Source organism: Homo sapiens, chromosome 18 (genome assembly GCF_000001405.40).
Source record: "Homo sapiens chromosome 18, GRCh38.p14 Primary Assembly".
In the NCBI taxonomy this organism is placed as follows: Eukaryota; Metazoa; Chordata; class Mammalia; order Primates; family Hominidae; genus Homo; species Homo sapiens.
In genome coordinates this window covers 31849763-31870682 of record NC_000018.10, presented here as the reverse complement: position 1 = coordinate 31870682, position 20920 = coordinate 31849763, and the positions used below count along the sequence as shown (strand labels likewise).

At 34.9% G+C, this 20920-nt stretch overlaps 1 protein-coding gene across 12 annotated transcripts in view, besides 1 other annotated feature; it reads left to right on the top strand.

Annotated features, from left to right (window-relative positions):
• TRAPPC8 (trafficking protein particle complex subunit 8) overlaps positions 1–20920 on the top strand; it is a 113932-nt gene that overhangs the window by 72446 nt on the left and 20566 nt on the right. For 11 of the 12 annotated variants that reach the window (XM_017025616.3, NM_014939.5, XM_005258234.4 and 8 more), the window contains 9 exons: positions 181–311; positions 3207–3281; positions 3708–3834; positions 5902–6056; positions 12701–13143; positions 14876–15023; positions 16738–16834; positions 18020–18088; positions 18179–18237. In XM_017025616.3, the coding sequence (XP_016881105.1) occupies positions 181–311; positions 3207–3281; positions 3708–3834; positions 5902–6056; positions 12701–13143; positions 14876–15023; positions 16738–16834; positions 18020–18088; positions 18179–18237 (1304 nt within the window). Of the gene's footprint in view, positions 1–180; positions 327–3206; positions 3286–3707; positions 3835–5901; positions 6057–12700; positions 13144–14875; positions 15024–16737; positions 16835–18019; positions 18089–18178; positions 18238–20920 lie in introns of those variants that run through there. The other variant, XM_047437357.1, reaches the window with a different exon arrangement.
• Positions 9591–9791: a silencer, noted in NCBI's record as "peak3103 fragment used in MPRA reporter construct". NCBI's record gives its function as "represses an SCP1 promoter by STARR-seq MPRAs in K562 erythroleukemia cells {active_cell/tissue: K562}" and the evidence as "EXISTENCE:reporter gene assay evidence [ECO:0000049][PMID:32103011]".

The following is a 20920-nucleotide window of genomic DNA, read 5'->3' as shown; positions in this document are numbered from 1 at the left end:
TTTCAAGGAGGTAATGTAGTATTACAACAGAATCCTGAATACGTGGACATTTATAAGGTAATAAAGGACAGTCTAGGCAGAAATGCAGAGCTATGAAAGCAAGATGCATTTAGAAGATCGAAGCTGAGAATGAGGTGTGATGTTTATTAAAGTTATTAATTTAGGCCTTTTTTTTAATAGAACCAATTACAGTGGAAGTGGCTTTTAGAAACCCTTTGAAAGTTCTACTTTTGTTGACTGATTTGTCATTGCTTTGGAAGTTTCATCCTAAAGATTTCAGTGGAAAGGATAATGAAGAAGTTAAACAACTAGTAAGTTATTAAAAGGTATTTGTAATTATGTTTCAGCTACAGCCTAACAAATGCTGTAGTAACATTTCAATGTACTCTGTTCAGTGAGCTATACTTCTTTTTGGTTTATTTTTCCTTAGTTATAAAAATTATGATATGTACTTATTTTTGAAAATTGAAAATACATAAAAACATAAGGAATAGAAGTGAAACCATCTGTCTTCATAATATTTAGAAATAACCACTTTAACATTTTGCTGTGTATCTTTCCAGTCATTTTGTTTTTATTTTTTTTTTTTTTGAGACAGAGTCTCACGCTGTTGCCCAGGCTGGAGTGCAGTGGCGCCATCTCGGCTCACTGCAACCTCTGCCTCCCAGGTTCAAGTGATTCTCCTGCCTCAGCCTCCTGAGTAGCTGGGATTACAGGCTTACCCCACCACGCCCAGCTAATTTTTGTATTTTTAGTAGGGATGGGGTTTCACCATGTTGTCCAAGCTGATCTCGAACTCCTGACCTGACCTCGTGATCCTCCCGCCTCAGCCTCCCGAAGTGCTGGGATTACAGGCATGAGCCACCGCGCCCGGCCTTCCAGTTATTTTCATTTGTATGTTTTTCCCACATATTTGGGATTCCTTCATACTGTGTATGTTGCTTTTTACATTCTGTGTTGTTTTATAGGCGTATTCTGATATCAAAGTGTCTTAATATTTTATTTTTGCATAATATTCCATCATATGAGTGATTCATAAGCTATTTTACTATCTTTGATAGTTTTTTGGCAAGTTTCCATTTGTTGACTATCACGGTAATACTGTGGTGCACTTTTTTGTGTGTGGCTTTTTACCTTTAGATTATTTTTGTGGGGAAGATTCCAGGGCATGAAGTGAAGATTTTAGGGAAAAGTATTGTAGTGCCCTGCTGGTTTCATAAAAGTTCATACCAATGAGCTTCTTACTAAGCAGCATATGGGTTTGGGTGTCTAATCTTTATGACAGTAAGCAGTATTAACTTAAAAACTTTGTTGATTTGATATTTTTAAAATGCCATCTTAACTGTTTTATTTTCCATTTCATTGATTGCTGGTGAAGTTGAAACTCTTTGTTTTTCCTCTTTTGTGAATTGCCTATTCAAAACCTCATTTATATTTTTTTCTTTTCATTTCCGTGTCTAATAAGTCCTTTATGTATCTAAGATACTTAATTTTGAAGCAGAAATGATGTGGCCAAATAGTTTCTTTATTAATACCCACCTGACTGTAAATGAAATAACTTGGACAAATAGATATATTTACTTACTAATTTATTAGTTTAGTCACCAGTATCTATCATATAACTTGCTTTTTTTATACTACCTTGCTAAATGCTTTAATAATGTGGCAAAAAAAAAAAAAGGATTTTGGAACTGGGAAATAACCCAGCATTTTGGTGCTCAAGTGTTTTGATTTTTTCAAGATTGCCTTATTTTAAGTCTTGCTCTAGCCTAGGCAACATAGTGAGACCCCCATCTCTACAAAAATTTAAAAATTAGCCAGATGTGGTGGTACACATCTGTAGTCCCAGCTACCTGGGAGGCTGAGGTGGGAGGATTGCTTGAGTCCTGGAACCTGAGGCTGCAGTGAGCCAAGGTCATGCCATTGTACTCCAGCCTGGGAGACAGAGCAAGATCTTGTCTCAAAAAAAACCACAAAACAAGTAAACAAACAATAAAAAATAAATAAATAAATAAATAAGTCTTGCTGGTTAAATTTGTCAAAGATATTTTGTATTATTTATATTCATTGTTAATAATTTGAATGAGATTTCCCAGGCTGTATTCTGACTTGAATTTTAGCAACTTCTGCAATTTTTCTAATCTTTTGGGTGCCTGGAATACTCAGTATGAGCGGTTAAACTTGGAAACGTTTTTTAAAAAGATTTATTAGCTTTTTAAGTATATTAGTCTGTTCAATATGGGAGATTTTAAAGGAGGTTTAAAGTTAAGTGAATATTTTCATTTGTATGATGAAGTGTTTCTTAAAATAATATTTTTCTATAAATTGCAAACTCTGGATTTTTTCATGACTAAGAAATGAAGAAAATGGACTAAGATGGTGATGGACTAAGATGCTGAACTGGAATGTAGGGAGTTTTTTGTTTCTTGTGCTAAATAATGTCATGGTGAAAGTATAATAGCGTTTATGAGGATCAGGTTTATCTCCAGTATGAGCCAATTAGCTCTGCTTTGCTACATGACCAGAGAAATGTCATTGCTTTGGGGGAAACAGGCCTTTTTCCCTTCTCTCCCACTGCTGTTATTGTCTACCTGTCTTTCTTTATCATGCTTAGCCCACCATTATCTTTTCTATGTAATTGACCAATTTTGAAAAAGAGGCTGGTCAGAGCAAAAGAAGAAATTTGCTATTATTGTAAGATTAAATTAAATGACCATTTGGCCATTGTTGACTATGAGCAGCTAGGTATTTTCTCTCAGGGTTTTATTATCTTGGTGGCGGTATCTTTGATATGCTCCCGTTTTGAAACAGAGTCTCGCTCTGTCACCCAGGCTGGAGTGCAGTGGCGCCATCTTGACTCACTGCAACCTCCACCTCCCGGGTTCAAGCGGTTCTCCTGCCTCAGCCTCCTGAGTAGCTTGGATTACAGGCATGTGGATAGTGGCATCTTTGAATCGATTGCTTATCCTTCTCAGTTGAATTGGACTGAACAAAATGAAAAAAATATATATTGAGTGCCTACTACAGCCTGGGTCTACTCTAGTTGTGGAAATAAAAACACTTTGTGTAGAGCTCAGCATGTGGTAAAAACCAAGTAAATGCAGACTTTAATTAGTGTTATTTTTTTGAAGTATTGATATATAGGAGTGTTAATAATCTGATACTTTGTTCATTGGAATGTATAATTTATGAAATTTATTTTTTAGGTTACAAGTGAACCTGAAATGATTGGAGCTGAAGTTATTTCAGAGTTCTTAATTAATGGCGAAGAATCAAAAGTGGTAATTATTTTATCATTTCTCTGCTTTATGCCTTTCTGAAAGTAAGGTGAAAACAAATTTTTAAATAATCTTTATTCAGTTTATTTTATATTCTAGTTTTCTTAAGAACTAAAATTTGGAAGATTAGGACATAGGAATTGCTCAGGAGGAAATTGGTGGTTTGCAGTGGTCTTTGATTTGTTAGTTTCCTGAGAAGCCTGTTGCTTTCTTCTTGATATGCTTTTTATGAAAAGTTATTATTGAGGGTTTAGGCCTATAATTGTTAAATTTAGACATTTTCTTTTGAAGAAGATGCTTTTCATAAATTAATTGGCATTTTAAAAGTTTAGGTCATGAGTTTATGTTTTTGCAACATTATAGAATTAGGTATTGTGCTATTTAAGATATTATGAAAACATAATAAGACTGACTTAAATATCTCCACAGGCAAGACTAAAGCTCTTTCCCCATCACATAGGGGAGCTGCATATTCTGGGAGTTGTTTATAATCTTGGCACTATTCAGGGCTCTATGACAGTAGATGGCATTGGTGCTCTTCCCGGATGTCACACAGGTAAAGGCTATAGCATTGGTAAACAATTAGAAAACTTTCTTAAATCACTCCATAGAATAAAATGGACAAAAATGATGTATTTTCTAAATAGGTTTAATGTATCGTTAAGTAAAGACATTTAGCCAGATGTAAGAATGACAAATTTAGATTATTTTAACTTCTAACATCATCTCTAGCGTCAAAAGTAAACAACTTGATTCCCTTCTGATATATTTTCTTTTGTTAATTTTTAGACTGTATTTTTTTCTGTCACTGATCCAAATTTAGTAAATTCTAACCAAATAAATTCTAACCATTGATTGTCTGCTGCCAATATAAAAACCATCTTAATATGTTCTTTTTTTTTTGAATATTTCCTTTTTATAAAACATGGAACAAATTAAAGACCTATGTTTTCACATCACTGGATATTAAATACCTTAAGTTCTATCTTCTGTCTTGAAAGAGTAGGGCTTTAGTGTTAATCTGATATTCTTGGTGCACTATACAGTATGTTCTACACATTTTTGAAGAGGAAAACTACACGATATGTGCATTTAACATAGTTTTCTTTGTTTTTTAAACTCAGGGAACCCTTCAAGATTTAACATTACCATGTAATTACTGTGTGTAGTTATTTGAGTTCAAGTTGAAAAGATGCTAGGAGAGGGAGTTTACCATGAAACTTCCTACTTCTGGCTCATTTTAATAGATATGTCTTATTTTACAACAAATTAAGTTGAATAGTCCTTGACAAACATGAATTTAGCATTTACAAAAGCTGATTATTAACATTGAGAAAGTGGGAACACTTGGAAAATTTGTTGGTTCTTTTAACTTTCAATTAAATATACTTGCCCTGGGTATCTAGGATAATTCAGTACACCATTTAAGAAAAATAAGTGAAATGAATCCATAGAAACTAAAAACATTTTACTAAAGAAAAAAATTTGCACTAAAATTGAGTAAGGTATTCTGCATTTTAGTACTGTATTTGTATTTTTTGGTTGACAAGAACCAGACAAAGTTTATTTATAATTTATATAATTTATAATTTAAATTATTTATAATTTAAAAATGCTAATTTATTGCATTTTTAAAGCAAGATAACTGGATATTAACAGCTTTTTGAATCTCCTTTCTTTTCCCACTTGTATGTAACTAGGATCTTAATCTAGTACACAAATTTATGGTTGTCAGTAAAATATAGGTAGTTGTTTTATTTAAGGCACCAAATATATGCATTAAAAAATACTTTATATGTTATTGTATAATATTAATGGGAAGAGACTGAATTAACTGTTAAAATCCTATCTTCTAAGCAGAGTTTTCATGATTTAGTATAGCTCATTATTATGTAAAATGCTAATAAGGATTTGGGTCACATGAAGTGTGGGAATCAATACATTTTATATCTGGCTTGAGATTATTACAGTGACCTTCGGCACATTAAAGGCTTTAAGTAGTCCTGCAAGAAAGATAGTTGTATACTCTAGCTTTTTTCACACATACATGCACTACATGGAAGCTTTTGGGAAAAATTTCACATGAATATTAAACAAGTTTAATTTTGAGAAAACTCTACTGTATTTAATTTTCTTTGTGCAGTCTCTTGAGAAGATTCAGTTATTTATATTCCAGAAATAATTCAAATTAGTGTATATATTTGAATATGAGTAAAAGTAAAAAGTTGACCTTTTCATTGTTTTCCACTTCTTTTCTTTGTGAATAGATACCGTTCTCATGGCCTAAATTAAATTGTTGGACCTAAGATAATTATTCTCTCAGGTTTTGTTAGTTAATAGGCACATGGTTAAATACAGATTTCAGAGGGCTTCCTATTGAGTAATGTGTAGTCTTTTTTTGCAAAGTATATCTAAAACCAAGTGAGAAATTAAGTAGCATACCTTAGTTGGTGTTAAACATGGAATGAAAATATACTAAATTCTTTGATTAATCATGTTAATCAAAATTGTCTAGAATTTTTCTAGAAATAATCTGAAACTTACAATATTCACATATTCAAGTTAAATTGATGTCAGTTAACATACCAAATTATTTTAGGGCATTGATTGTTTTTTATTTCAGGAAAATATTCCTTGAGTATGTCAGTCCGAGGGAAGCAGGATTTAGAAATTCAAGGTCCTCGACTTAACAACACAAAAGAAGAGAAAACATCTGTTAAATATGGCCCTGATCGACGTTTAGATCCCATAATCACAGAAGAAATGCCACTGTTGGAGGTATTTCACTTTTTAAAATTTCATGGACTTAATTTATCTATATGAGCAAATATTCTGAGTAAATTAATTTTAGGCTCTGAGGTTTTTGATATTACATTGAACTATACTTTTAAATTATTATTAAGCTAGTGTTAAATATATTTAATTCACAATGTAAGGCAATCATGCAAATTGCCATTAAGTCATAGCCAGGCTATAAAATATAACCCTCAAAATATTAATGGAAATTGGGAAAAATACTTCTAAAAAATCCACTCTGATTTTAAAAATGAGTGACTCTTTTTCATAAGTTATAAAAAATAATTTGTGAATGAATGCTTATAAAAAAACTTAAGCAATGTAGAAGCATCTGAATAAAAAGCAGTATTTCACCTTCTTCCTATCTTCACCTTCTTATCCCATCCTATCCTACTTTTATACCATACAAATTAAAATTTGGAAAAGATAGAACCTGTTGCTAGGTAGTATAGCCAGAGAAAGAGAAATGTATTATTTAGTTGAAGGATCTTGTTCTGTAATACTAAAGTATTATAATATTTTATAGAACATATATATTATATAATACATAATATAAATATATATTTTATATTTTATAGAACATATTATAATAACATATTATAATAAAGTATTATAATATGTTCTATAATACTTTAGTATTATACTTTAGTATAATAGAACAAGAAGTGGCAGAAGCTCCAGGGAATTTAAGAGCAAATGTTTTAAAGCCTCTAGAAAGCATTGCTTTTGATATAACCCTAGTCCAGCAATTTTCAGTCTTTGAGCCACTTCAAATTTCAAGTTTCTAGAAGAAAGATGTGGTCCACTTTGGATCAGGCTTATACCTGAGGAGCAGGGCAAAGGTGGTAGGGTCATGTAATGTAAGGGTGAAAAAGGCCCTTCCTCCCACATCCTCAAGTTATTCTAGTAGGGGGTTTACAAGGATAGCAACCTACCTCCAAAAGTGCCAGTGATACCAAATTGCTGTTTATCTTTTCAGACCTTGCATTGTGCACTTATATATAGTTTTAATAATTATAGATGCAATCATACTACACGTTTTATCCTGTACTTGCTTTTTGTCCTTAACAGCATAACTCAGTCTTCTTTTTAACCGTTACATATGGTATTCTTTTATTTGGATATACTGTAATATATTTTCATGCTCTTAATGGGTTTACTTCTAGTTTTTCATCAATACAGACAATTCTGCAGTAAATATCATGTATATATTTTGTCCATGTTCTAGATTTGACTAAACTTTAAAAATGGAATTACTGGGTGGAGAGATATATAAATTTTAAATTTCGCAATACACTACAAAATAACCTTCAGCAAAACTATAGTAAATTGCACTTTTCTTCAGAGTGAGAGTACCTGTTGCCTTACATCTGTGTCATTCTGGATAATATCAGTTTTTGTTTTTTAATGTTTGCAAATCAGATTGAAAAATGATGTTTTTATTTACATTTCTCTGATAACTGATAGGGTTGATCAGTGTTTTTTGTTTGTATGATTTTTTTCCCCTCCATGTGTCCATATGATTGCCTGCTTATACTCTTTTTTTTTTTTTTTTTTGAGACCTAGTCTTGCTCTGTCACCCAGGCTGAAGTGCAGTGGCAGGATCTCGGCTCACTGCAACCTCCGTCTCCCAGGTTCAAGCAATTCTCCTGCCTCATTCTCCTGAGTAGCTGGGACTACAGGTGCCAGCATGCACCGGCTAATTTTTTGTATTTTTAGTAGAGACGAGGTTTCACTGTGTTAGCCAGGATGGTCTCAATCTCCTGACCTCCTGATCCGCCCACCTCGGCCTCCCAAAGTGCTTGGGAACTCTTTTAATTGGATGTTATTTCCTTTCTTCTTACTGGATGATTTTTATGGTAGTAATCCTATACATGTAGTGGTGATATAGGTAACATACTCATGAAAATGGTGATGGGTGGTGTGTGCTGAGAGGTGGGCATTGCTGAACTACCCATATTCTGTCCACATTTAACCCTTGCTTAATTGTGATGCATGTAAAGAATTTTGTAGGGCAATAAAAAAAACTTATGGACTGACCCAAATGCCAGTTTCTGGTTGTCAAGAGATAAGGCTCAAACTTTGTTTTTTAGTTCCAGTACCATTAATAGAATGTGGGCAACTCATTATGCCATCTTTCTATTATATTAATATTCTGAAAGTATCCATACCAGGTTCTCTTTTAGATGCAGTCTACTCTGTTTGATAATATTTCCTTATTTCTTTCTGTGTCAGTACTATACTGTTGCTTCATCATTTTTTTTTTTAATCTGGCAAGCCAAGTCCCTTTTATAATCTTTAATTTTTTTCATTTTTCTTAATACTTGTGCCATTTTCGTCCAGGCTTTGCAAGTTCCCACAATAATAATTTTGATTAGAATTGCATTGGTAAAGCCTAGGAGTTAAAAAGCTGATGATGAATTGAAATGAGTCAGGAGTCAAATGTTATTTTAGGGTTATTCACCATTATTGTTTAAAAGTCTTGAACTAATGAACATTTTGTTTGGAATTACGTTTCTAAAAATTTGTTAGAGCTTACTTTCAGATGGGAAGATTCTGATCTGTGTGGTCAAAATAAATCAGTGTAAGACACCAAAATATACTGTTTTTAATGATTGTGCTAGCTGCTAGCTTTGATTTTTTTCTCTCCTCCCCCACCGCCCCCCCCCCCCTTTTTTTTTTTCTGGAGACGGGATCGCTCTGTCACCCAGGCTGAAGTGCTTGGTATGATCTCTGATCACTGCAGCCTTGGCTTCCTGGACTCAAGTGTTCTTCCTGAATAGCTGGGACTACAGGTGGATGCCACCACACCTGGCTAATTTTTTTGTGTTTTTTTGTAGGGACTGGTTTCACTACGTTGCCCAGGCTGGTCTCAAACTCCTAAGCTCAAGCAGTCCACCCACCTCTGCTTCCCAAAGTGCTGCGGTTATAGGCATGAGCAACCGTGCCCAGCACCTATGATTTTCAATAAGCCATATCATTTAAATATTCTTCAGTTATTAAGATTGTTAAATGTACAGATGGTTTTTAAATGCAATGCTTCTCAAATAACATATTCCTATGAATAGAGGTTTACTTTTACATTGTTTAAGCCTCATCCCTAATTATCTGGCCTTCATTTTCTAAGTGAAAGTTTTTTCACTTAGGAAAGAAGCTTAAACCAGATATCTTCTTGGATTTTTAACTCTGTTGAACTTAACAGTCTTTATATTTACATTCATCTGGTTTTTGATATTGCTAGGTCTGTATTTAACTTTGCTTCTTGCATATCACAATTTTAGAAAAATTTTGTTATAGAGGCAGTTCTTGAAGAGGGTATTTTAGAGCAGAGGGCCTCTTATTCTACATAACAAAAATGGTGTTTGGTTGATGAAACAAAGCTTGTAAAGTGAAAAACAAAAAAATCAGTAGATCCATACCCTAAACATTTTACCTTAATTTAAAACATACTGATGTACATTTATTCACCATTTCTGCGGGGGTGGATTTAGAGCAGAGACCTTTTCTATGAGTGCTGGTATGGGTTTCCTGATAGGAGTTTCATCTTGTTTCATGCATTAAACTACATCCATAAGTTGCACTTTATGTTTCCAGTTTTGGTTTCTTCAGAGTGAGAATCTAGACAGTTTGTCAAGTAATCTAAACACTGTGTATGTCTGGATTTTTATCTACAGATAAAAGCTATACTTTCAGCTATGGATGAAAGCAGTTTACACAATACTTAATTTATGTGAACAAGTTTGGGAATAGATAGTGACTCTTGAAAGGAGAATATGATGGGCATTACAGAAAGCCTAAAGCCACTGATGTTCAGTTCCATAAACATCACTCAGTATTTTCTTGTAAGAGAATAGGGAAGTTGGTTAGTTCAACAAGGTGGTATGATTATGATGGAAGTCAGCTAATAGACCATTTATCATATTTGGACAGACAGTGGAAGACATGAAAACTGGTGAAAAAATTCATAGAATATTCCTGTGCCTAATATTTCAGAAATATTTTATGGAATTTGAGATGTTTAAGGGAATAGTAGAAGTAGTTACCCATCTATACTGTATGATGAAATAATCTGTAACAATATATATTTATCAAACAAGGGTGAGAATGAAAGTTACTGTAGCTCATTGAGAGAAGATAAAAATAAGAGTCATTTGCATACTACTATGTGTATAGCATACTGAACTCAAACAATGAGCTATGTGGATTAGAAATCTTTCCCCCTAAATCTTTTTTTTTTAATACAATTGTTTCTGTTAGGAATAATTTTAACATGTAGAGAAGCAGAGAAAAGAGCAAACTCCTTTAATTTCTTACGCACAAGCACTATTATATATATGTATCATTCAACTAGACCATTTGATTTGTGTCTAGTCATTTTCTGTTACAGGCAAAGCCACAATGAATAATCCTAAGCATGTCATTTTGTACTCACACATGTATATCTTCAGGATAAATTAGAAGTGAGATAGTGAGTTCTTGGTCTTGTTTTCCATTTATATTTGAAGCTATCACAAATATCAACTATTTAAAAGGACTTTCAGCAACTGAGCATTTGAGGTAAAGGCTAAATATACTTGTTCTTTTTTTTTTTTTGAGACGGAGTCTTGCTCTGTCACCCAGGCTGGAGTGCAGTGGCGCAATCTCGGCTCACTGCAACCTCTGCCTCCCAGGTTCAAGCAATTCTCTTGCCTTAGCCTCCTGAGTAGCTGGGATTACAGGTGCGCACCACCATGCCTGGCTAATTTTTGTATTTTTAGTAGAGACGGGGCTTCACCATGTTGGTCAGGCTGGTCTCAAACTCCTGACCTCGTGATCTGCCCACCTCCCAAAGTGCTGGGATTACAGGCGTGAGCCACTGTGCCTGGCCTTGTTCTTCTTAAAGAGTCAAAATAGTGTATTTAGTAAACCTGTGTTCTGAAGGTACATGTGATCCTATACATAGTTGGTACCACTAGTCTTTTATGTGTTCTATCACTGTTACCATTTTACCAATGCTGTAACCTTCTTGATGGTATCTAGGTGTCTCTATGTATTTTAGTGTGTTTTTACACACTGAATACTCTATTTCACTTTTTGTTAATGCAGCTGTGTTGGATGTAATAACAAAATTAATAATTCCTCCACAAGTTTTAGCTCGACTATAAGCTTGACACTGACTAATCAGTACAGAGAGTCAGTGTCTTCAGTATAATGCTATGTCTAGCTTATTTTTTTATCCTATTAAATCTATGTGCGGGATTTCTACATTAATCCCTTGTTTTCTCATTTATTTTTAAAGCTTCTAATGTCCCCAAATTTCATCTGATTTTTTTCTTTTTAAGAATATGGCCATAATGAAGTCCCACTCACATTTAGATTCAAAAACATATTTTCACTGGAATTTCATGAAGTGACTGCCAGCTATAACTTTATTAGAACATTTCACTCATATTGTTACCTTTATCTTCCTGCTTGCTTAGATGTTAGTTGTGACATTTAAATATCTGTTTTTTTGTTTGTTTGTTTGTTTGTTTTTTGAGATGGGGTCTCACTCTGTCACCCAGGCTGGAGTGCAGTGGCACAATCTTGGCTCACTGCAACCTCTGCTTCCTGGGCTCGAGCAGTCCTCCCACTGCAGCCTCCCCAGTAGCTGGAACCACAGGCGTGCGGCTCATTTTTTGTAGTTTTGATAGAAACAGGTCTCACCATGTTGCCCAGGCTGGTTTTGAACTCCTGAGCTCAAGGGATCCACCAACTCTGGGATCCACCAACTCTGGCCTCCCAAAGTGTTGGGATTACAGGCATCAGCCACTGTGCCCAGCCAGTATACTTAAAGATCTTTTAAATGCAGATAACTTACTGTATGATTTCATTAGCCCAAATTTCTGTCTCTTTAAGCACAAGTCCACAATCCCTCATCTGAAATATTGAGGCCACATGTGTGTTGGAAATCAATTTAAAAATTTTTTTTAGAAGTGTGTGTGTGAAGTTATGTAAACCCCATTGCTTTGTGGCAGCACCTAGTAACCAAACATTAATATTTCTTGCATGAACTGTATTAATATCACACTAAATGGGAAAGAATATAAAAAGCCTCTATTAGGTCAGGTTTTGCCCCCACATGAGTTACTAAAAGCCTGAGGTTGGAGTTTTTTGGATTTTAAAATTATGGATATGAAATCATAGATCTGCCCATTCTTTCACTTTAAAACCCATAGTAAATCTGGCATATCTTTTCATCTTGATGATATAGACATAAGTAGTTGAGCTGCTTCTTTAGTTGACAGTTATAAGGGTTATAAAACTGATATTTACTTCATATAGCCGTGTTAAATTACTTTCAACTTTTCTGGTCCATAATCTACCAAGTTGTGAAATTTTGACATGTTAGCCCTCTTGTGTACTGATAGTATACCTTTAATTCATAAGTCTAGAATCACTACTGAGTGGCAGAGTAACATTCTTCTGTCTCATCATATTTTCTAAAATGGAGTCATTAACTGCCACATATTCAGGGAGATACCAAAGAATTAATGAAACACTTGTAAACCTTTGGTAAAAAAAAAAAAAAGTGTCTTAAAGTGTTATTCATTAGAGGTTCAAAATTTTTAACAGACAAATAATAATATTTTTTCCCTCCAATGCAGGTGTTCTTTATACATTTTCCTACAGGGCTTCTCTGTGGAGAAATCCGAAAAGCATATGTAGAATTTGTCAATGTCAGCAAATGTCCACTTACTGGATTGAAGGTTGTTTCTAAACGTCCAGAGTTCTTTACTTTCGGTGGTAATACTGCTGTTCTAACACCACTAAGTCCCTCAGCTTCTGAGAATTGTAGTGCTTACAAGACTGTTGTGACAGATGCTACCTCTGTGTGTACAGCACTCATATCATCAGCTTCTTCTGTAGACTTTGGCATTGGCACAGGAAGTCAACCAGAGGTGATTCCTGTTCCCCTTCCTGACACTGTTCTTCTACCCGGAGCCTCAGTGCAGCTGCCAATGTGGTTACGTGGGCCTGATGAAGAAGGTGTCCATGAAATTAACTTTTTGTTTTACTATGAAAGTGTCAAAAAGCAGCCAAAAATACGGTTAGTATTATAAAACTTATAAAATTTAACATCTATGTTCAATGTATATGCACATATTCAGATAAACATTTTGATATTTACTAACATGTTAAGAAATTACTCTGTTCCAGATTATGCAGGATATTTATATCTGAAATTGTCTCAAATAGAACTGTAAGTTCTAGGTACCCAAAAATGAAAAAATAAAATTTAACGGCACACATTTTTTTAGTTGCTTCTGTCTGTAAACTTCTCAATTGTTTGATACGATTTAAGTACTGTAGACAGAGCTATCACATAATAATGAAATTAACAGGTACCATGTATTAAAATAGGGCGTCATTTATGTATGAAGACAACCTGCCTGGTCGTCTCAGTCATCCTTTTTTAAGAAAATTGTTTTGTTTTACCTTTTCCCTAGTGTTCCCCCTTGCCCCACAAGAATGTATGAAAAACAGTACATATTTACAGAAGAGAAGATTATAATGGTGTTACAATAGATGATCACTGAAGAAATCAAAGCTAACTGGCTCATCCAGGATCTATGACCTATATTTTGTTCAACAGAATATTTTCTTTTGATACCTCCATTGTCATTTTTACAAAATTAACTAGGAATAACTTGGGAGGCTGAGGCAGGAGATTCGCTTGAGCCCAGGAAGTCAAGACTACAGAGAGCCGTGATTATACCGTTGTCCTCCAGCTTGGGTGACAGAGCAAGGCTCTGTCTCAAAAAAAAAAAAAAAAAAAAAAGATTTTAGCATTTGAATATCAAGGGAGGGATATGCAAGAGAGTAGTGGGTATTATTCTAGGGAGCGGCTGTATATATTTTATTTGTAAAGATTTACAGATTAGAGAACACAAACTGAATGTAGTTAGTTCAGCCACAGTGTAAAATTTTTGTAAAAGAAGTAAAGAGGAAGAAACCTTTGAAATGTAAAGCTTATATATGGTGAGGAGTTTTGAATACCAGGTTAAAGTTTGAACTTTATTTGGTAGTCATTCAGTAGCTTCAGAACCACTATTAGAAGCAAGGCTGGGCGCAGTGGCTCACACCTATAACCCCAGCACTTTGGGAGGCTGAGGTGGGCCTCACTTAAGATCACTTAAGGTCAGGAGTTCAAGACCAGCCTGACCAATATGGCTGATGAAGATGGTGAATATGATTGATTTTTGGGGGGAGATCACCAAAGTACAGCACATTAACCCTAAATATCCTAGAAAGCAGACACCTTATGATGAAGATGATGAATATGGCGAAACCCCATCTCTACTAAAAATACAAAAATTATAGGGTGTGGTGGTACATGCTTGTAATCCCAGCTACTCAGAGACTGAGGCAGGAGAATCGCTTGATCTGGGAGGCAGAGGTTGCAGTGGTGAGCTGAGATCACCCCACTGCACTCCCACCTGGGTGACAAAGCAAGACTCTGTCTCAAAAAAAAAAGAGAGAGAAAGAAGCACAATCAGAACATTACCATATGAAGATTATTTTTATGTGTTATACAGATGAATTTGATAAGCAGGGCAAAAACTTAGACAGGGAGACTAGTAGTTTCCTTCCAAATTGGATAGAAAGAATTGAACTGAAGTTAGGCTAACTATGTAATTTTACTTAATGTATTCTATGGATTTTTAGAGTATAAATGGTCCTGAGAGTGATCAGTTTTTAAAATCTTTATTTGGAATTAGATAATTATAACATAGAGACTCTGTGCTTAAATGTGCTTTTTTTTTTTTTTTTAACTTCAGGCACAGAATATTAAGACACACTGCAATTATTTGTACCAGTCGGTCTTTAAATGTACGGGCCACTGTCTGCAGAAGTAATTCTCTTGAAAATGAAGAAGGCAGAGGAGGCAATATGCTAGTCTTTGTGGATGTGGAAAATACCAATACTGTAAGTTGGTTTAAAACTGAATTTTGTTTTTAATTATATTTGAAGTGTTTCCCTTGTGTTTAGTAGTGGTTTTTGTTTTCCTTTACAAGACAGCATAAGCTAGGGATTTTAGGAATGTTCATGTAGAATAGTATGAAATCATCTTAATTCTTCATTAGATTTGTGATTTTATCCCTTAGTCTGTCTTCAAATAAAAAGATCTTCTGATATTAATATGGTACACACTGATATGCTATATAGTTCCATTAATTCATTCTAAAAGATCTCATAAAATACTTTCTAGGTCTCACCATTGAGATCCATTGGTGTTACTAAATTGTGAGGTTCTGTTAATATATCACATTCAATATTAACTTGGTAATCTTCACTTGCACATTTCTAACAGTGCCATTTCCTTTATATAGTAAATTTCTGAAATATTGCCATTCCTGTTTATGCACTCTAATATAAAAATGAACATTTTTTTTTCTTTTTTCTTTGTAGACAGGTTCTCATTCTGTCACCCAGGTTGCTCACTGTAACCTCCACCTCCTGGGTTCAAGTGATTCTCATGCCTCAGCCTCCCAAGTAGCTGGGATTACAGGCACATGCCACCATGCCTGGCTCATTTTTTTGTATTTTTAGTAGAGACAGGGTTTCACCATGTTGGCCAGGCTGTAAAAATGAATATTCTTTTTTTTTTTTTTTTTTTTTTGAGATGGAGTCTTGCTCTGTCGCCCAGACTGGAGTGCAGTGGCGCGATCTCTGCTCACTGCAAGCTCCACCTCCCGGGTTCATGCCATTCTCCTGCCTCAGCCTCCCTAGTAGCTGGGACCACAGGCACCCACCACGCCCGGCTAATTTTTTTGTATTTTTAGTAGAGACAGGGTTTCACCATGTTAGCCAGGATGGTCTCGATCTCCTGACCTCGTAATCCGCCCACCTCGGCCTCCCCAAGTGCTGGGATTACAGGCGTGAGCCACCGTGCTCGGCCAAAAATGAGTATTCTCAAAGATGAGAGTGTGATCTCTCATGTTTGAAATAGGACTCTTAGCATTAGATTGATTCAATTCAGGTACTTATTTGAAATGTTACTTAATTCTGTAATGTTCTTTACTTTTAACTTCTTAAATTTGTAAGGTGTCTGCTTTCTAGGATATTTAGGGCTAATGTGCTGTACTTTGGTGATCTCCCCCCAAAAATCAATATTTTTATAGTAAGAGTGAGAATATTTTAATAATTTCAGATTAGCTTTTATTCAGGAGAATTAAAAAAATACATGCTACTTAAATAATTTCATGTGTACTGACCATATATTAGGATTCTGTTATGTGAGTTTTTGTTGCTTGTTTTTTTGCCTAATAAGAATGAGATATCTCAGAGTAGAGAAATAAAAAGAAAATGCCATAATTTTGATTAAAAATTGACAATTTTTTATCTTTTAAATACTACCAATAGCTCATTGTGATAGGCTTTAATAACTCAGTGGCTTTCAGTATTTTAAAATTTACCATTGAGTATGCATTATAGTCAAAAATACTTCTTGGACAAAATGTTGATGTCTCTGAAAGTGTTTAGAAAGGGATTTAAATAAGTTTTTGGAAATGTATATTGTAATTGCATCTTATGTTAATTGACATTGACTTTGGTAGCAGTGTCTGAATTTTATTCTCATCGGAACATTCTGATTTAGTGCTTCTAAATCCTGAATGACTCCTATCTTTTTTTTTGACAGAGTGAAGCAGGCGTTAAGGAATTCCACATAGTGCAAGTATCAAGTAGTAGCAAACACTGGAAGTTACAGAAATCTGTAAATCTTTCTGAAAACAAAGGTTTGTTTGTTTTTCCTGCTACATAATAAATTTTGAAACTTCATTACTTGGTTTTCCAGAATAGTACCAGAATGTCTTAAGATTATTAGGATTAACTTTTTTAAGCATTAAATTGTGATTTCATTAGTTTACCTAACTGTAAGTCAAATTACCTATCTTGATCCAGTCTTTCCCATTTTTTAAATTCCCTCCCACATCTTTTATACTTGTATTTTCTTCTTTTTGTTTTTTATTGTAAAATCAGTGCTTGGGTACATGATTACTGTCAAAAATTCAACCAGGACTGGGTGTGGTGGCTCACGCCTGTAATTCCTGCACTTTGGGAGGCTGAGATGGGCGGATCACTTGAGGTCAGCAGTTTGAAACCAGCCTGGCCAACATGGTAAAACCCTGTCTCTACTAAAACTACAAAAATTAGCTGGGCGTGGTGGCAGGCGCCTGTAATCCCAGCTACTCGGGAGGCTGAGGCAGGAGAATTGCCTGAACCCGGGAGGCAGAGGGTGCAGTGAGCTAAGATCATGCCACTGCACTCCAGCGTGGGCAACAGAGTAAGACTCTGTCACAAAAAACAAAACAAAACAAAACTTAACTGGTACAAAAATATATAGACTAGAATATGGAATTTTCTCTTTGTTTCCTTTACCACTGGTGAGTTTATCTGTGAATAGCCATACCTACGTACTGACTGGCTTTTCTGTGAATTGTCATGTTTATATAACATTCAAACAAAAGAATGTGTACCAGAAATTACTTAAAGTACCATTTTAAAAGTGCCTGCAATTATGGGAAAACATATAGCAGAGTGTGTTCGTATAGTAATGTTGGTATAAATCATGCATATGAAACATACTGAAAGGAAATGAAGAAGTGGTAGAGTGGCAGGATTATGGGCTTTCCAGTCCCTGTGTTCTGATCTTTCAAACTTACTGTTTATCTGAAATGTCGCATATATGAATACATATATATATATACATGTGCACACATGGATATGTATTTTGAGAAAATTGAAATTTATCCTTTTTAAGAGGTCATTTCATTGAGATAAAAACAAAGATGTTCTTCATTAAACATTATTTATAATTACGAATTATTTTCTATTTTGACCAAGGAAGTCTAAATAATGAATTGGTTTTTATCATGTGATGAACTGAGAAACATCTTTGAAATTTCCCTTTTTCTTCCTAGATACCAAACTTGCCAGTAGGGAGAAGGGAAAGTTTTGCTTTAAGGCAATAAGATGTGAGAAAGAAGAAGGTAAATTCACTTTACTTTTACACTTTACTAAATGGTCATTTTATATTTTATGCCAATGATATGATTAGTTTGTTTTCCCCTGTTTTTTAGCGGCCACACAGTCCTCTGAAAAATATACCTTTGCAGATATCATCTTTGGAAATGAACAGGTATGCAAGTAAGCATAGTAGTGTTTGATGTTAAGTCATAGTTATAGCATATCTGGGTATTTTTGGCAAGGCTTATCGCAGTAATTCCCAAACGCTTTTTTTTGGGGGGGAGACAAGGTCTTGCTCTGTCTCCCAGGAGTACAGTGGCGTGATCACAGCTCACTGCAGCCTCGACTTCCCAGGATCAAGTGATCCTCCCCCCTCAGCCTCCTGAGTAGCTGGGACTACAGGCATCAGCCATCACACCTGGCTAGTTTTTTTATTTTTTATAGAGACCAGGGTCTCACTGTGTTGCCCAGGCTTGTCTCCAGCTCCTGAGGTCAAGTGATCTGCCTGCCTCAACCTCCCAAAGTGCTAGAATTACAGGTGTGAGTCACTGCACCCAGCCTCCTCAGACTCTTTGGAGGATAATAAACATCTGAACTTTATTGAGTTTTGCAACCTGCCTTCAGTCCCCAAAACAAACCAAAAATGCTTATGGACTATACCATTTTAAGTAGTTATTTAAAATTAACTTTCTTTTGAGACTATCGTATGAAGTAAGTATAGTTCTTGGGATATTTTTTTTAAAAAGCAAGATTATATGAGGGAGCTTTTCTATTAGGGAAAGTGGTCACAATGGAATATATAGATGATAACCCTCTGAATTTTGGCATACCGTATCATATCATATCATATTCTGAGACCCAGATAATAAGGTAGATACATAAGACTCCATTGTGATTTTAAAGCTATTACTCTCTAGGGCAGTGATATTCCATCCTAATTATGTATAAGAGTTACGTAGAGGGCCAGATGTGGTGGCTCATGCCTGTAATTTCAGCACTTTGGGAGGCTGAGGCAGGAGGATTGCTTGAGGCCAGGAGTTCAAGACCAGACTGGGTGTCAGAGACCAAGGCAAGACCCTGTCTCTTAAAAGAAAAAAAAAAAAAGAGCCTCCTAGAACAGTGGTATTCAAAGTTTCAAAATGTGTCCAATGTAAATTATCAGAAATCTTGTTAATATGCAAATTCTGATTCCACAGGACTTGGGTAGAACCTGAGGTTCTAAATTGTTACAAGCTCCTAGGTGAGGTTGACATTATTAGCCTGCAGACCATAATTGGACCTAGATTTTGTAAAAATACAGGCTTTACCTCCCCTACCTCTAAAGCTCTGGTTGATTATATCTTGGGTGGACTTTGGGAGTATGCATTTTAAGCTATCCCTGAAGATAATCTGAAGTAGTGACCTGCTTTGAAAAATGCTGAATCTGGGGTGTAAAAGTTCATATAATTGTGTGCTATTAGTGGGATGATTTCTTCTTTCTGCTCGTCTCCTTGATAATTCTAAACATCCTTATATTTTTGTACTTCTTTTATCATTTGCTTTCATCTGACTCATCATTATCTTTTTACCATTTGAGGAAACAGCTATTTAGAAATATCTCCAAGTTTCAAAAGCTCAGTAATTTCAAAATATGCATTACTTTCAGAGATACTGTGCTTCCTGAATAGTTGAATTTAGTTTTCAGGACTTTAGTTATTTTTTTTTAAATTTCTTTAAAAACTTTTAAAATCCCAGAAACATCAGCAGGACTCTTGTATTGTAATTTTTATTGTGTTTGTTGTTAAATAATTTAGTGTAAGAGCACTGGTGAAGGCAGAAAGAAACACATTTTTCATTTTGATGAACCTGGTTGAATAAATAGAACTTGCCAAGCACTACAGATTAATGAGAAAACTATGGGGACAGTGTTTTACAAGAAGTTCGCTCATAAGGAGAAAATGTATATATTCATATTTAATACTTATTTAATAATTAACTTGAAGTTTAACATCTACATGATATATACATAGCCTGTAATACAGGAAACCATAAATATAAAGATGTTATTATGTGGCATAATATTCATTAGTTAAGGGAAATCCTGTAATTGAGTCCATTTAAAATTCTTATCTCATGCTTTCATTGTTTAAGCCTGAAAGCCAAGTTAATGCTAATAATTCTATTTGCATTCTGCTTCATTGGATATTGCCTTGGATTTAAATGAGAAATATTTCTGTCATTTTAAAATACAGGTTTTCAACATTTTATTTTTATTTTCTTGGTGATACCCATTCATTCTCCCTAGATACTTGGAAGGTCAAAGCTAATGTTATGGGAGCGTAGTTTAATTATTTTGGGGTGACGGCTTTAAGATTCAGGGTAACTTGCAGCTGGGTGCAGTGTCTCACACCTGCAATCCCAGCATTTTGGGAGGCTGAGGCAGGCAAATGCTTGAGCTCAGTAGTTCAAGACCACCCTGGGTAACATGGCAAAACTGGCAAAACCCCGTCTCTACAAAAATTAGGCGGGAGTGGTGGCACGCACCTGTAACCTAGCTACTCGGAAGGCTGAGATGGGAACATTGCTTGGGCCCAGGAGGTAGAGGTTGCAGTGAGCTGAGATTGCACCACTGCACTCCAGCCTGGATGACAGAGTAAGACCCTGTATCAAAAAAAAAAAAAGATTTAGGGTAATTTGTACCAAATCTTTTGAATGTTCAAGTGGCCTCCCTGTATTCAACTACATTGACAAGAATTATTGAATAAGTATTTTGGGTATGTATAAGCTATAGAAATAAAAATTTTGGCAGGATATATTTAATTAAAACTGAGTTATACAAAATAAATTTTGACAACATAATTAAAAGCATTTATGAA